This window comes from Homo sapiens, chromosome 5 (assembly GCF_000001405.40).
Source record: "Homo sapiens chromosome 5, GRCh38.p14 Primary Assembly".
Classification (NCBI taxonomy): Eukaryota; Metazoa; Chordata; class Mammalia; order Primates; family Hominidae; genus Homo; species Homo sapiens.
In genome coordinates, this window is record NC_000005.10 from 83,845,487 (window position 1) to 83,863,511 (window position 18,025).

The 18,025-nt window shown below is 37.3% G+C and overlaps 1 annotated feature.

Annotated features, from left to right (window-relative positions):
- Positions 6,344-6,638: a silencer, noted in NCBI's record as "tiled region #15074; HepG2 Repressive non-DNase unmatched - State 24:Quies". NCBI's record gives its function as "represses a minimal TATA promoter and a strong SV40 promoter by Sharpr-MPRA in HepG2 cells {active_cell/tissue: HepG2}" and the evidence as "EXISTENCE:reporter gene assay evidence [ECO:0000049][PMID:27701403]".

Here is an 18,025-nt window from a genome sequence, read left to right on the forward strand (position 1 = left end):
CCATTCTGAAAGTGCCAAGTAGAAACAGAGTTGCCAGCCTCTTAACCACTTTAGAACCTTTGACTATGTTCAACGACACACTTCTGGTATTATTCTCTAGTTTTTCGTGTGGGTGCATCTTCTCTCCCCAGCAGGTGCCTAAGGAGAAGGACTCGTGTTCTTCTTCCCTGGACTCTCTGGGAGTACCCACCATGGACCTGGTATACAGTTAGGGAGTCAAGAAATACTCGCTGAAATAATTTGCTCTTAATATAAAATTAAAGTTATACTATCTAGACTTATTTTTAAAACACTATTTTGGCCGGGCGCAGTGGCTCACGCCTGTAATCCCAGCACTTTGGGAGGCCGAGGCGGGCAAATCACGAGGTCAGGAGTTCAAGACCAGCCTGGCCAACATGGCGAAACCATATCTCTACTAAAAATACAAAATATTAGCTGGGCGTGGTGGCAGGCTCCAGTAATCCCAGCTACTTGAGAGGTTGAGGCAGGAGAATCGCTTGAATCCAGGAGGTGGAGGTTTCAATGAGCCGAGATCATGCCACTGCACTCTAGCCTGGATGACAGTGCAAGACTCTGTCTCAAAAAAAAAAAAAAAAAACACAGACACACACATACCAAAAAACACTATTTTTTTTAACATATATACATATATGCAGTACAAAATATAAACTTAGAAGTAAGGCTTCTCTTACCCTTGTCTCCTAGTCACCCAGCTTTCCTCATGAGAGGCCACTAGAGACTTCCCGCGTAACTTTTCAAAAATACTACATTCACTTATACACATCCATTTAGAGAAATATATATGTATGTATCAAATGCCACAAAAGTATATACATTGTCCTGCACTTGATTTTTTTTCACCTAATAATACATCCTGGAGAATGTCCCATGAAGCTAGTACATTTGTTGTTGGCATTTTTTTAAGAGCTGCATAAGAATACAGTCTACAGATGTATATTTCCCCAAACTTATTACTATTATAATCATGTAACAGTAATAGTTTTGTATACATGACATTTTATAAAGGTGTGTGACCAAAGGATAAATACCTAGAGACAAAATTGCTTTGTAAAGGCATTGACAAATTGCTCTCTACTAATTTTCTCTCCAACCAACTTATAATGCATGTGGTGAGTATTTCCTTGACATGCCCTGTGATACCCAAGTGAAGAATATGACATTATTAATGGCAAACACTTACATGGTACTTAGTCTGTGCCAGGCACTGGTCTATGTGCTTTACATATATTATCTCAAATAAGACTCACAACAACCTTGCGAGGGAGGCCCTTTCATCATCTCTAATTTGCAGATGAGATAAAACATTTTGCCTTAGGTCACCCAGCTGGTAAATAGCAAATGACATCTGAGCCCAGCCTGTCTGGCTCCAGGAGTCAGCTCTTGTAACCATGACCCTAAATTGTGCTAATTATGACACTTTTTCATAGTTATTCTGTATGAGATAAAATAAGAATATCTCAAGAAATACATGTTCTACAGTTGAATAGGGAGGACTGTAACCCTCCTTGTTGCAGTCTTTTACACTGACCTGAGTCCCTCCCCATCACTTCTGGAAGAATTGAGCTCCTGGTTCACTAGCATATTCTCTAATGTCAGTGTGGTCATAATTTAGGGGGATATCGATGTGCATGTAGATGAAGCTTTTATTACCTTGGCCTCTCAGTCTCAATGACCTTACCCTCTACTGTACCTCAGGTCTCTTTTCCTGTCATTATAAATGACATCTAGATCTTGTCATCATCAATGACTGCATGTCTTTTATAATGTGCATTTTAAGCTTCCTGCCCTCAGACCTATAGTTCCTATTTTTCTCAGTCACTCCCTCTAACGTCCTTACTCTACCAGACCTTTCACCCAGTGAGGTCTTCATTCTATTGATTCTATCATATTTTTCATTGTCTACCTCCACATTGATGCCCTCATTTTCCCCCTTATGCAGCAGCTTAGGTTTCACAGTCCATTGCCACAATCATTCTTAACCAGACTCTTAACATAGCCTTTTAATAAGTCTATTTGCTCTCTTGCCCCCTTTCAATGTATTCTCTAAACAGCAGGTGACTCTATTAAAATGTAAGTGAGATTAAGTAACTTGTCAACTTAAATTCCTCCAATATCCTCCCATTTTACTCAGAAAAAGGCAAAGTACTTTAAATGGCTTACAAGGTGCATCTCTTGCTTTATTTCATACAATTCTCCCACTTCCTTACCCAGCATAAGCCACACTGGCTTCCCTTTGGTTTCTCTGACTCTCCTGACTAGCTTCTGCCCTGAAGCCTTTGTATTTGTTTTGTGCCTTTGCCCAGTACATCCTTCCTCCAGATATCCACATGGCACCCTCTATCACTTCCACAATCCCAAGCAAGGTAGCATTGCAAGTATGATAATTTCAGTGGCAGAAGTCAGATGTGCAAATATTTACTTTATTAATTTTTGCTACTGAGTTCAACATCGTACATTTCCTTTCATAAACTGAACATTTAATCAGGCTTGAATCACTTATTGTTAAAACTTTTTGTTAAGTTAGGAAGCTTTCTAACTTAACAAAAAACGCTCTTTCTCATACTCTTTTCCTCATAACTAATATAAATTGAAGATAAGAGCTTAGAGACCTAACATAGGAATGGGGATGGATTTGTCCCAGAGCGATAGGTTCTGTAGAGATCGATTTTTGCTTGAAATGTATACTTCCTATTTAGCTGTTTGCAATTTGTTTGTAACAACAAAGAACTGGAAATAGCTTTGATATCTACAAGTAGAAGATGATGCCCGGCATATTTATATGATAAAAGGCTATATAGCCATTAAAAAATCAGTGAAAAATATCTGAAAATGTTGACATGGAAAGATTGTCAAACTAAGTGAGAAAGAATTATAAATGAGAAAAAGATATAGAGCAGTGTATACGAAGTGATTTCTATATATTTTATTTACATATAGCTAAATGATAGTCTAGTTAATATGACATAAATAAATAAATAATATTTCTTTTAATTATGCATGAGAAACCACAAAAAGTTTACTTTGGGGAAAGAGTGTTTAAGGAGACTTAGTTTTTATTCTATTTTTTTTACAGCTTTATTTTAAAATCATGCACATATTTTAAATTTTTATTTAAAGTTTAAGTTATACTAAAATATTAAACTGCATTATGTTGTATGAACTTATTTGTTATTCAGTAGAGAGCATATCACTTTCAGACTCTTACTGAGAATGTAGTACTATGCCAGGTGCTGAGAAGGCCATAGAAGAAGAAGAATCATTGTTGTAAGGAAATTTAAAATATGATAGATGACATAGATTGGCTGTGTCCCCATCCAAATCTCATCTCTAATTTCAGTTCCCATAATCCCCACATGTCATGGGAGGGACCTGGTGGGAGGTCATTGAATCATGGAGGTGGTTACCTTAATGCTGTTCTCATGATAGTGAGTGAGTTCTCATAAGATCTGATGGTTTTACAACGGCCTTTTCTCCCTTTTGCTTGGCACTTCTCCTTCCTGCCACCACGTGAAGCAGGATGTGTTGCTTCCCCTTCTGCCATGATTGTAAGTTTCCTGAGTCCTCCTCAGCCATGCTGAAGTGTGAGTCAATTAAACTTCTTTCCTTTATAAATTACCCAGTCTTGGGTATGCCTTTATTAGCAGTGTGGGAACAGACTAATACAATAGGGAAAATATGATTCATAGAAACAACAGGAGAAGAGCAAGAAATGCATGTCATTCAAGCCAATGTCCATGAAGTGGATGATAGATATCATATGAATTGAGACAAAGAGAACCTTGGTTGGCAAGTGCCATCAGGTAAAGGTGATGTAACCTGAATTTGGTGTTGAAAGAAATGTAGGAATTATACTAAAATAAAGAAATGGAGAAGATAATCCAAGTAGAAGTAACATGTATCAGAAAGCTTTAATAAGGCCACAGGTAAGAAACCAGTAAGCTGAAATGTTGTAGAAAGGTAGATTGGCACCAGCATGAAGATTGATAGAAATGGATAGAGAGTGGGGAGGAAACAAGTTTGAAGACAGAAATAGAAATGAAAGCCCGAGTATTTCAGTCTGAAATGGAAGAAAATAATTTGCATATAGAGAAAAAGATGAATCCAAAATGTGATGAAAAAGAAAAAAACCCTCTCATATAGAGCCTGATTAAATATTAGCACTGTAAAATGATTTTCAGCAAATAAATATTTCCAAAAAATTTTCCATTGCTCTTTGGGCACATATTGATATAATACATATTGATATACTATCATGTCTGTACAAGTAAGAGCTGAAGAATAGAAAAACAGTTTTATGAAGGGTTTAGCAATACAATTAGAGATAGAGGTGGATGCAAGTAACTATAAGTCTGTTAACAAAATTGAATATAAATTCCAATCTTATTCTCAAAAAAGCAGGAAAACAAAATAAAACATACTAAGAATAAACGATGGCAAAATTTAGATGTAACAGAAAATATTGATAACCTGGGCAGATGGAATGAGAAAAAAATACACTGCTAACTCATTGTCTCTATGAGGAAGGAAATGAATGGTTCTATGGGACTCTTAATGTAATGCTTCAACCTTGACTCCAGACATGGGGAAATAAAGTGTTGTCTTCCTAGCTACTTCCCCTGATTTGGCCCTACCCTCCAGGATGAGGTTAATAGAAGGGAGTAGAATCCAAGATCTGGTCTGACAAGGGCAGGGAGTAGAATTCAAGGTCTAGAATGATTACATTGCCATGAACTGTTACACAGAGTACCAGAAGACTGAACGTCTGCGTTTGGTCAAAGAACATTTCCTAATAGATAGGGGTTCCTTGCTTTTACACTGTTGGTGGGAGTGTAAATTAGTTCAACCATTGTGGAAGACAGTCTGGCGATTCCTCAAGGATGTAGAACTAGAAATACCATTTGACCCAGTGATCCCATTACTGGGTATATACCCAAAGGATTATAAATCATGCTACTATAAAGATACATGCACACGTATGTTTATTCCGGAACTATTCACAATAGCAAAGACTTGGAACCAACCCAAATGTCCATCAATGATAGACTGGATTAAGAAAATGTGGCACATATACACCATGGAATACTATGCAGCCATGAAAAAGGATGAGTTCATGTCCTTTGCAGGGACATGGATGAAGCTGGAAACCATCATTCTGAGCAAACTATCACAAGGACAGAAAACCAAACACCTCATGTTCTCACTCATAGCTGGGAGTTGAATAGTGAGAAGACATGGACAAAGCACAGGGAACATCACACACTGGGGCCTTTCGTGGGCTGGGAGGCTGGGGAAGGGATAGCATTAGGATAAATACCTAATGTAAATGACGAGTTGATGGGTGCAGCAAACCAACATGGCACATGTATACCTATGTAAAAAACCTGCATGTTGTGCACATGTACCCTAGAACTTAAAGTATAATAAAAAATAAAAATAACAAAAATAAAAATAAATAAATAAATAAATAAATAAGGGTTCCATTAATCAGCAGTGCCATAGTAACTAGATGAGACAACTTGGATGCAAAACTACAACTCCATGATTTATTACTTAGCATCTACGCCAATCTCAGTCAGCAGGAGTAGCAATAAGTCTGTGATACCCAGAAGGTCTTTCTTATGCTTCATTTTATGAGTGTCACATTCTTCTCCTACATTGACCCCTATCTTAATCTCCATTAAAAATCATTTCCAAACGACTTCTAGACTCTCCGTTAGTGTGGCACTCCAAGTACATGCGGCTCCTCCCTTAATTATTGTTTACTTCATTTGCATCTGCGATTTTTTTTTTTTTTTTTTAGATGAAGTCTTGCTCTTGTCCCCCCAGGCTGGAGTGCAATGGGGCGATCTCGGCTCACTGCAACTTCCGCCCCCCAGGTTCAAGTGATTCTCCTGCCTCAGCCTCCTGAATAGCTGGGATTACAGGCACCTGCCACCACGCCCAGTTAATTTTTGTATTTTTAGTAGAGATAGGGTTTCACCATGTTGGCCAGGCTGGTCTCTAACTCCTGACCTCAGGTGATCCACCTGCCTCGGCCTCCCAAAATGCTGGGATTATAGGCGTGAGCCACTGCACCCGGCCTGCATCTGGTTTTTCTTTTGAACATTTATTTTAATACGATAAGGTTCTTTTGTCAGATCAATGCAATAAGTCAGAACTTTTAGTGCTGCCTGGTCTGGTTTCTAATATGTTCTGGCCTGCCCTTTTGTGGTAGACTGAATAAGAGCTCTGAAAATGTCTACACCCTAATCTCTGGAATCCATACATTTGTATTAGGTGGAAAAGGTACTGTCCAGATGTGATTCAGGTGTACACCTTGAGATGAAGAGATTATCTTGGTTTATCCATTTGAGCCTAATCTAGTCACATGAGCCTTTAAAAGAGGGGTAACTTCCAGCTGCAGTCAGTTACAGAGAAGTGCAGTGTGAGAACAAATCATTACTGATTTGAAGACAGAGGAAGAAGACTATGAGTCAAGGAAAGGGGGTGAAATCCAGATGCTGAGAACAGCTCTCAGCTGACAGTCAGCAAGGAAACAGGACCTCAGTTGTACAATTACAAGAAGTGAATTCTGTCAACAGCCTAACTGAGCAAGGAAGCAGATTCTTCCCCAGAACATGGCACTCCAAAATATGCCACTTTGGCATAAGGATGATTTTGAGTTGAAGGCTTTTAAGATTTAACAGATGCAGAAAGAAGGCTTCCTTTATCTGACCAAAACAGAACTTTTGAGAAATGAGGGCTGTTGTAAACTCTCTCTCCAGAGGAAGTTTTGTGTCCGTGAAGAAAGCGGAAAGTTGGCACCAAGATGACCTTTACAGACAAGCCTCACTCTATTTGTTTCCCCCTTCTATTTACCCTCCGACAGTTTGCCACCTTGGAAGCCTGAAGCCTTTTGTTTTGTCACTTCTCTACAAATGTATTGTTCTTTGTTAAAATTGTTTATGTAAGCCCAAGTTCTAACCACTCCTTTGAGTTGCTCACCTCTAAGTTTCTCCCAGGTGTATTCCGGGTGCATGTGTTAATAACTGAGTTCTGCTTGCTTTTCTCTTGTTAATCCATTTTCCTGTCAATTTTATTCACAGGACTTCTCACCTACAGAAACTGTAAGATTATAAATTTGTGCTGTATTAAGCCAATACAATTATGGCTATTTTTACAGCAACAATAGAAAATGAATATACCTTCCTTGTGTGGTTAAGAGAATGCAAGTTATTCCCTGGGTTTTACTTTTCTCTTTTCTTATTTTATTTTTCGTTTCTACTCAGGATGAAATGGATAGATACAATTCTTCATTTCATAATCTTTCAGTTGCTTCTGGACAATTCTGATGTTTATCTGTGGGTAGTATAAATAGATTATCTTTGTGATAAATGCATCTCACTCAACATAGAAGTTAAATAATGTTTAAATGTTAAAAAAAAATACAATTTAAAATAGGATGAATATGATATAAAACAATAGAAAATATAAAAACAACTGTTTCTACATTTGTTTGACTCTATCAGAGCCCATATGGCAGAAATTAGAAAATAAATAAAACATCAATAAAGCATTATTAAAAATAAATAGAAATTATTTAACAAGTACACAGAATAAGATAAAATATTTGTATTATAATAAGAGATGTAAATAGGAGCGATTAGAGAGTAAAACAAAATTCAATGGCATACTTAAAGAAACACAAAAAGTTTAAGTATTAAAGCAATTACAAAAGCATATCTAATACATTCAAATTATAAGAAGGCATTGAATACAATCATATTGGACAATAAATAAAAAACAAAAAGTGCAAAATAAGATAAAAGCATTCTTCTTATATTATTAAGCTATATAATTTACACACAAAATTTAATGACAGTAAATCCTCTAATAAAATTTTATGAAAGTGTATAAACTAAAACTGTTAAGGAGGAATTAAAAAACAAAAAGTTAAGGATCCAAAAGTATCTTGCGGTATTTGACAAAAGAGTAAAATGTAAGTAATGATACCTGTGCTCTGAGTTGAAGAATATGATTTGTTTAAATATACTAAATATATTTAAACATATGCCTTATAAAAAGATATGAGACCTTTGTCTTTTTCCAGTGCCCATTAATTAGCATGCTAATACATTCCTGAAAAGAGACATTTTATAGGTCTTTTTTATAGGACCTTTTCTTAAGGTCATATACCTTAAAAAACTGTTTTATTTAATATTAAAAATTTGCAACAATAGATTAACCTTAAAATATAATCGTTTAGAAATATTAAAATACTTTACTTAGTATTTATTGCCTTAAGGTAGAAATCACCACTATAATACAGAATATTTACAAATCAATAAGCATAAGGAAGCCATATGGCATCTAGCCAAGGGAGCACTCAGAGGAAAATTCATACATTAATACATTTATAGGATTAAATAAAAAAAATAGGAAACTCTAGCACGGATAAGAGCCATCAAACAGGCAAATGAGACAGATGGTATACATGCTTTTCTAGGGAAATGTAAATTTAACCAAAATTAGTTGAAAGATAGTATGACTAAATAAAAAATGCAATTCTTTTTTTTTTTTTTTTTTTTTGAGACGGAGTCTCGCTCTGTCGCCCAGGCTGGAGTGCAGTGGCGCGATCTCGGCTCACTGCAAGCTCCACCCCTCGGGTTCACGCCATTCTCCTGCCTCAGCCTCCCAAGGAGCTGGGACTATAGGCGCCCGCCACCACGCCCGGCTAATTTTTTTGTATTTTTAGTAGAGACGGGGTTTCACCATGTTCGCCAGGATGGTCTCGATCTCCTGACCTTGTGATCCGCCCGCCTCAGCCTCCCAAAGTGCTGGGATTACAGGAGTGAGCCACCGCGCCCTGCCTGATAATGCAATTCTTATTTAAAAATTACCCTTATGAAAGTTCTTCTGACCCCTCCACAAAACTACATTTGTTCTACTCTACCATGAGTCTGATGCCATTCTAAGAAAGGGACAGGAGAAATTTATATGTAGGTACCGTAGATGGTTGCCATCCGTGATTAGTTCTAGGCAGCAATGGGCAGACTTCTGTGATAGAAATGTGTACCCCAATGATACACAACATGCCACCATAAGAAACACAGTTCTTTAAAAGTTCAGCTGCCTTTTAAAGATATGAACCATTAAGACTATTATACCTAGATGAGTTTATTGGGTTGCTTTACTCCACAATGAAAAGAGAAATGAAGGAAAATGGACCATTAATGTGGTTTTGGTTTGCAAACACTTCAAATATCTTGTCCCCTCTTCTTTCTCCAGCATCACTATCGTAATCAGTTCTTCCCAAGCTTCTACCACATTTGCACAGGTGTAATCTGATGATACCTTGGTTTGGCTGGCTACACACACTTCTAGCCTCTGTTATAGATTTCTTTAATGTGGAGGTATGGGATGGCCACTGAGACTCACTTTTTACTTACACATTTGTATCCTAGAAGTGTGGGAACATTAGTGCACAAGGATTATCCTCTGCCAAAAAAGGAGGAGAACATTTGGCCAATTGCTTCCCCTCTCATCCCAATAGCGGAAGGCAACTCAGTAACAAGCTCTTGACTTGGCTTTCACTCCTTCAAGGTTTCAGCTGCCCTGCTACTCATTCCTTCTACCTGGATCACTTCCTCCAATTAGTGTTTAGCTTTTTCTATGGATGTTAAAAATCACTGACCAGTAAAAATTAAAGGAATTAAATTCCTCATGAAGAATTCTACCTACTTTAGGGGTAGAGAGAATGGGTCAAAGAATGGAAAGAAGAATATTTTTCAGCCATTTCACTTCATTTTGCTTTCACTTGTTTAGTATTAAGTAACAAGACTAATTTGACAATCTCTTCTCACACCCATAAACTCTCACATCCAGGAGAGTTAGAAAATATTCCCCTTCAATTTTTAAGAATGAATCCTGTCTGATGCTGCCAATGTGCATGAACTATAGTCTTTAAATATGTATCAATTTTTTGAAGCCATAGGTTTAGAATAAAAGGTTAAAGAAACACATTTCAGGAAAGTCAGGGATACAATGACAGAACGTTTGCATGAAAGCCCTTTGGCATTCTTTCAAAAATTTTAAAACTTATTATTCAGCAAGAGAAAGACTGGTTAATACCCTCTGTGATTTCAGAGAAATTAACACTTCAGCAGATGTCAAAGATGTTTTTTTCTTTAAATGAAGACCTTGCTCCAATTCAAGCTTTGGAGCAAATTTTCTACAGGCATACCCAAAAGCATTTATGGACTATAATGAAGGTCTATTGTAGGAAATGTCTAAATTATCCAGTTTGGGGAAAAAAGAAAGAGCAAACATTAAAAGCAATGGGGATGAAATAGATGAAAGCCTGTGGTTTACATTATTGTTCACTATTTTTTTCCACTCCTCAGATTAGAACTTTCTTTGCAGCATGCCATAAATACATATTTCTGTTTTATAACAATATGTGTTATTGTACCACAGGTGACCAAATGGGATTTTTTTTGGTTTTGTTTTTGTTTTTCCTATTGACTGCTAGCTGTCTGTCTTGCCAATAGTGTTAGAAATGAACAAAGATGTAGACCTCAAACTTAGGTTATCAATCCTGGGGACAGTAATCTGCTCAGAATTTAGGGCTCTGAGGTTGGTCTGCGTCTGTCCAATTATAATGTCAATCCTGAGGGAGAAGAACTAGAACACAAGGAGGAAGAGTAAGCACCAAGCTGGAGACAGATTCAGGCAGTCAGAAACAGTGGTGTGCTCTGACCTTGAGTGATATTTTAGATTACTGCTTCACTCTTCCTTTCCTTGAATGTGAAGAGACACTGTAATTGTGTAGCATAAATTTTCAAGTCTCCATTTAGGCTATAGGGAAAAGTGTAAGAATTCCAATTAGATTTTACGTTTATCTTCACCCTTTTTAGTTCCCTGCTGTGAGTCAAGGGAATTATATATGAGCACTAGTTAATTGTCTAGGGGTTAGAGATATCTATTATTAAGCACCAATGAGTCCAGAAGTACAACCTATTTCAGAATCCATACTCTATTCTAATTTTCCTTTGGGTCAGGGAAGAGCAAAGCAATGGCATGAATTTAAATTCTTGTTCCACAAGAGAAAACAATGTCCAAGAACCAAACTGTTTTTCAAAAATAATCAGCTCTCCAGTTGGCTGGGTTCCATTATGGATTTACTCTTAATGCAGAAGCTGCAGAGGTAAAAAGTGTTAAACACTTCTTAGAACAGAGGCCGCAGATTACTCTGTAGTCTATTGAGCCACAAGAGAAGTGCATGCATATGCATCTTTTTTTATTACTAGAGAGCATTCTATGGGAAGGATCTGGTGGCACTTCCTAAATTCCCTACAGTCTGCAACTCTGAGATTTCCTTTTTTTACAGTTTTACACTTGTAGACGAAAAGATCTAAACAGCTTGACAGTTTCTTAGTTAATCTGATCATTTGGGGCAGCCAGATTAAATAATTCAGGTCCCGGTTGAAATACGATTGACCTGGATGACCTGGTTTGCCGGTTTGCAATTATCCAGTTGACCCAGATATTGCCAAATCTCCACTTCATGGCAGTTTTACAACACTTGGAACCACTGCTTTAAGTATCCGTCTCTTGAGACTTAAGCTGGCTCCTGCTGCTAATGAGATTAGTTACACACATGTTGCCTACTCGAAACCTCCTTCATTGCCAAAAAATCCAGCTTTAGAAGTAGATAAAAGACAATGAGATTGTTAGAGAATTAGGGTTCAATGCCATTTTGGAGGGTTAGCCAAGGTCATACTTTCATAGTGTAGGGGGAACAGGAATATCATAGGAATTAGGGAAAACTGATAATTTCCATTTTCACTTCAGCATCACTGGGGGCTTGAGTTAGAGTAGCCACCAGATTAATGTGGCTTCTACAACTACTGAGGGCAAGCTTTCTGTAGGGTGCCCTTGGTGACTGGGTCTAAGTTTTCTCAGGAAATCCTGTTAGAATTTTCACTGGCAGAGTTGTGGAAAGATGACAAGGCTGCCTGAGAGCCCCACCTCCCTAGTATGTTCTGGTTGGCAAGACTGCCAACCAGAGTGGCTTTGAGCCCAGGCTGAGTGGCCAAAGCCACCCCAATTATGCACAGTGTGCATTTAGCAAAGCCCTGGTTGGCAGGCATTTGGGGTCATGTAGACTTAATTTTCATTTTCAAAAACACCCCTGAAGCAAGCAGTGGGTACCCCTAAAGAGGTTTGCTGCATATTTTGCCCCTCGTTCTATATTACCTCATGTAAATAAGAGGTAGTTTTCTCCATGGGTTTAGTTTCATGTAGAACACTAAACAGGGAATTACAGCTGTGGCACAAAATTGTAGTAAAAATCGAATCAGTGGGAGCAAGTCACAAAATGTGCTTTTACCCTGAGAATTTTCCTCATTGTCACCCTTATATTGCAAATTACCCAGTTACATATCGCATAAAGAGGTGTGTTTATAAAGTCAAATTTTATAAAGGTCAAATTTCTCACTCTAATTTATGCATCAAAAGTGAATATGTAGTCATAAGTAATTTTAGTCTCATAACCAGAAAAAAAAAACACACACCTCTAGGTATATTTATCTAAAATATAACAAAAGATGCTTATATATGAAAAATAGTGAAACAACAGAAAAAAAGAAATTATCTTAAACTGCAGTCAAATAAACTTGTATTATATATTAGAAGCTTTCTAATTCTAACTCTGGAATGTTTTATGAAGAGAAACGATGCTATCTGGTTGTCAGAAGATTTTTTTTAGGTAAGATTTAATTAATTAATTAGAAAATTTTCAGAATGACTTATTTATTTAGAAGCAGAGGTGAAACTAAATGATTTTTAGAAGCCCCTTGTGAACCTAGTCTTCTGTATTCAAATTTATTGATGATAAATTTGCCTTGTGTACCTGGGAGGCATAAATATTAAAGAGGACACTAGACTCTCCCTACTCTACATTCACCCTTTCCTATTAAGAAAGCCCTTCCTGGAATCATTCAAGAGGACTCAGTAAAAAGTAGTTAACTTCAAAGTGATACCAGGAATTGGCAGTTTCAGCCCACATTGTAGTGGCGTGCTAGGGTATATGCATCCTTGATTTCATTATAATTATCTGTTCTTTTTCTCCCCATCCCCCTTACCCCACCTGGTTTTATAGCAATTTCTCAACCCCCTGATAATTAGGGTGGTCAGTCTTCACGGGAGTTTGAATTTCAAAATCTTGAAAGGGTTCTTGGATTGTAAAACAAGACTAAGATGAATGTTATTTGCTGGAGAGGAGGGAATCTTAAGCACTGGAAGGTGTCAAAAGTCCAAAGCATTTTTAGGATTCCCATTAGGAAAGCTCTTGGGAGTGGGAATTGTCTAGTAAATATCACTCAGGTGAAAGGCTTTCGGGGAGTTGACCTAGGAGATCACAGACAATTTTTTTTTTTTTTTTTCTGACTGGAATTTCTACCTTATCTCTCTGGTTCCCAACCTTGTCCCTGATGTTGGGTTGCTGTCTTTCTCTGGAATGTCAATAACTACCTCATTTTTTACCTTTTTTTAAACCTCTTTTTGTTTTCCTTAGGCCTCTGGAATTTGGGCCAACATGACACCAATTGCATACTCTCATGGAGGCCCAGCAGCCTCCTGGACTTCATTTTCACCTTACTCTTCCTCAGTGACAATAGCAAAAAAGAAAGGAAATAAAAATATATTGAAAACAAGGAAAATATGGGCCTAAAAGGTGTTGGAAGGAAAGGGACTAACATTAGATCAGAAGAAGGCACTATTATGTAAGTTTCAGCTAGAAATATGCAAGAATATGCTAGAATACTCTGCAAAACACAGAAACTCACTTTCATTGGATTGTTATTTTATCAAAATCAGACAGATGAGACTGTCAGAAACACTGCATCCACCTAGTAATTGTATCTGCCATCTGTACTGTGATCCTTAGCAACCAATTGTTATTACAAGCATAAGGCTATATGAAATGCCCAGAGTATCTCCAGATTCTACAGATATTTTAAAAAGATACAGTTTTCATTCTGGCTGCCAAATAAATAAGCAAACAGAATTATATCATAAAAACATGGTCAAAATCAAGCAAAAATTGTTTCATTAACTTACTTGAACTGTCATTTCTGTCAGTGTTTTAAACACTGGTATCCAATATGTTCTATTTACTCTTTTACAATTGGATGGTCTCTGGTCTTAGTCCCATAAGTATGTGGGAATAGTGCCAATCCCCAGGAATGGCACCTGGGCCCAAGGAATATCCGTATGCACGCATGCTTCTATAGGGATGGAGGTGTAGTGTTAGCTACGTACACTTGAAGTATGTCTAACTGTCTTTTCCAGGTTGCTCTCCGGGGCCAGCTCCCAGCAAAGACATAAAGCAAGTGAATTGTGCTTTTGGTGCTCTAAGCTTTGCCATTTTTATTCCCCATTCTTTAGTATTCACTACCCTCAGCTTTATTAACTTTGTCAAAATTTAGTCTCAGGAAAAGGTCTCCTGGAAATATTTTTAAGTCTTAGTATGAAATTTGAAATGTCACTCCTTCTAGGGTGATTTGTTTTTATTTTTAATGCTAACTATAGAGTAAAATTCTGTATCACTTTTAAGGAATTCCACACATCCTTGGGTAGGTGAGAAAGAGATTCTGGAGGGAGATCAAAGAAAGCCCTCTCAGGACACTAAACACTCCTTGAGTTCACACACATACACACACACACACACACACACACACACACATACACACACTCTAAGGTGAAAGAATTAATGTATATCACCTTTCTGACATGTGTTAGAAGGCACAGCAGTTATTGGTATGTTTCTCACTAAATTCTATGCTGCAAGTAAGATTCAAGAGAGAGGTTAAATTATTTCATAATGGTCACACAACTATTTAAAATTAAGTCCACAATAAAAACATCAGCCAACGCCTAGTCTCTTTTCTCTGTATATTCTAATCATTTTTGTTGATTTGAGTTTGTATGGAAAGCATTAATGGAGCATTTTCTGGGCTCAAATTCACATAAAATTACTGGAGGAACCAAATGAGAAAAATGCAAAATCCTCTCAGAAACCTCAGGGAGAAGCCAGACCCATTTTAATGTCTGAGGTCTTCATTCATTTTTTTTTTCCATTTCTGAAGAGACTCTTCATTTATCATCTTTGCGTCATCCTTTCCTTTGGTTAACGGATGGTGTTACGCATATTCTTTGATTACTGACTGATCTTTTATAACTTCTATTTTGTGAGGCATGAAACATTTCGCACCACAAAACATGGCATTTTCACTATAGAGTAACTACATATTTATTTCCCTGAAAATGTCCCTGAGATCTGGGTGCTTCATTTTCGGATTTTCCAACTTTTTCCCTTTTATTGATTTCATTATTACTATCAACATCTTGTCGCGAAATTGTTTCCTTGAAAATCATAGGCAAAATTAATATAGCATTTGTTCACAAATGCTATTGTATTCTCTACTTCCTATGAGAACACATGTCCTAACATTAGATGAACTTACAGGCATCAGAACAGGTAAGAAGTGCCTGATATTGAATCTTTTTAATGTTTGACCTTTCTTCATTTACTGCTCTTTAATCACCTATGTGCATACCAAGAAGAAAAGGTCATAAACATCATTTCATTCTTTAACTATTACTGATTAAGTAAAGGCATATTAAAACGATAGTTGACTTCCATTAGCAAGGCAAGTCAAGCAGTTCATAAGTTACCTGTTTTCATTTATGCAATAAATATTAGTAACCTCCTATCACATATGCCAGGCACTGTTTTTGAGTTAGGGAAATAATGGGGAGCAAAAGATGTGTCTCTACTCTCCTACAGGTTAATTGGGGAGACAAGTAGCAGTCAAACAGAAATGCAAATGAATTTATCATTACAAATTAAGACATGTATTCTATCAGAAAAAAAAGAAGAAAAGAAGAAAAGAAAGAAGGAACCAAAGAAAAAACAACTTTATATGTGAGTTTAAACCAAGGGAACCTACCCTAAAATGAGAATTTGAGGAAGTTAAAGGGAAGCTTCAAGAAAAAGGGATCTTTAAGCTGAGATTTGAAAGATGAGGAAGGTTAAATTAAGAGAAAATGATGAAAAAGCTTTTATAAACAGAGAGTATAATCAAATACATGGCATTTGGAAAGAGAATGGAGACTTTAGAGATAGACAGAAGGCAACTTGGCTGGAGCTCATAGACTGAGGGACAGAGTGATCATTGATATGGTTTGGCTGTATCTCCACCCAAATCTCATCTTGAATTATAGTTCCCCTAATCCCCACATGTTGTGGGAGGAACCCAGTGGGAGGTAATTGACTCATGGGGGTGGTTACCCACATGCTGCTGTTCTCATGCAGGTGAGTGAGTTCTCACAAGATCTGACTTTTTTTTGTTATTTTTTTGTTTGTTTGTTTTTTGTGTTTTGAGATGGAGTCTCTCACTGTCACCTTGGCTGGAGTGCCATGGTGCCATCTCAGCTCAATGTGACCTCTGCCTCCCGGGTTCAAGCGATTCTTCTGCCTCAGCCTCCCAAGTAGCTGGGATTACAGGCACCTGCCACCACACCCAGCTAATTTTTTGTATTTTTAGTAGAGATGGTTTCACTATGTTGGCCAGCCTGGTCTCAAACTCCTGACCTTGTGATCCATCTGCCTCAGCCTCCCAAAGTGCTGGGATTACAGGTGTAAGCCACCACATCCGGCTGATCTGATGGTTTTATAAGGGGCTTTCACCCCTATTGCTCACACTTCTCCTTGTTGCCACCATGTCAAGAAGGACATGTTTTCTTCCCCTTCCGCCATGATTGTAAGTTTCCTGAGGCCCCCCCAGCCCTGCAGAACTGAGCCAATTAAATCTCTTTCTTTTATAAATTATCCAGTCTCTGGTATGTTCTTATAGCAGCATGAGAACAGATTAACACAATCATTAATAAGGCTAGGGTGATAAGCAAACGCCAGACCAGGTGGATATTTTAGGATGTTGAGGATGTTGCTGTTTACATTAGGAGCAATGGATTAACACAATCATTAATAAGGCTAGGGTGATAAGCAAACGCCAGACCAGGTGGATATTTTAGGATGTTGAGGATGTTGCTGTTTACATTAGGAGCAATGGGAAGTAACTGCAGTGTTTTAAGCACAGGGGTATCATAATTAAACAGCTTTGCATTTTGAAAATATTTTTTATGCTCCTGACAGAGTTTAGGTTTGCTGAACACAGAGAACTCAGTGACCAATTTTGTCCTTTAACGTCCAATTATTATAAAGATTTGATGGGAGAGAAAAATGAGGGATACACTCTTTAATGCTATTTGGGAATTTCTTTCTTCCTTTCTCTCTTCTGCCTTCCTTTCTCCCTTCTTTTATTTCTGTCTCTCTCTTCAATCGATAGTATCACTTCCTACTTCTTCAAATAGAAAAGCTACTTGAGAAAGCCATTCACTAAGCTTCACTTAGAAAGATGTGTAGAAGACTGTGAATTCTTATACATGGTGTGAAGAAACAGTAATAAATAATAACCAGTGGCCAAATGCAGATTTATAATCTAGAGGCAAATTTGTTTTTCCATTGGATATAATGCTGTGCAGGGGAAATATGATGTAATTCCATATTTACAAAGATATTCTAATCCAGAGTGGAATGTTATTCAAAAAAACCCATGGATGTTTGATAAAATTATAGTATTAAAAGGAGCCTCTTCATCTAGACAGAAGTACACCAATAAATACTGAGCAGATGTTTATACTATTTCTCTTAGTGCTCAAAGACGTGAATATTTAATTTATTTATTCATTCATTCATTTACTAAACACATTTTTATGGATCCCAACCCTATGCCAGGCACTGGTTCTTAGGATATAGGAGAGAACTGAAGAGATAATGATTTTGTTTTTCTGGGGATTATATTTTGAGTGGGGTAGACAATAAAGAGATAAGCAAGGAAATAGATGGTATGTTAGATGATACAAACAAAGGGAGGTGGGATTGCAAGACTGCGATTGGGGG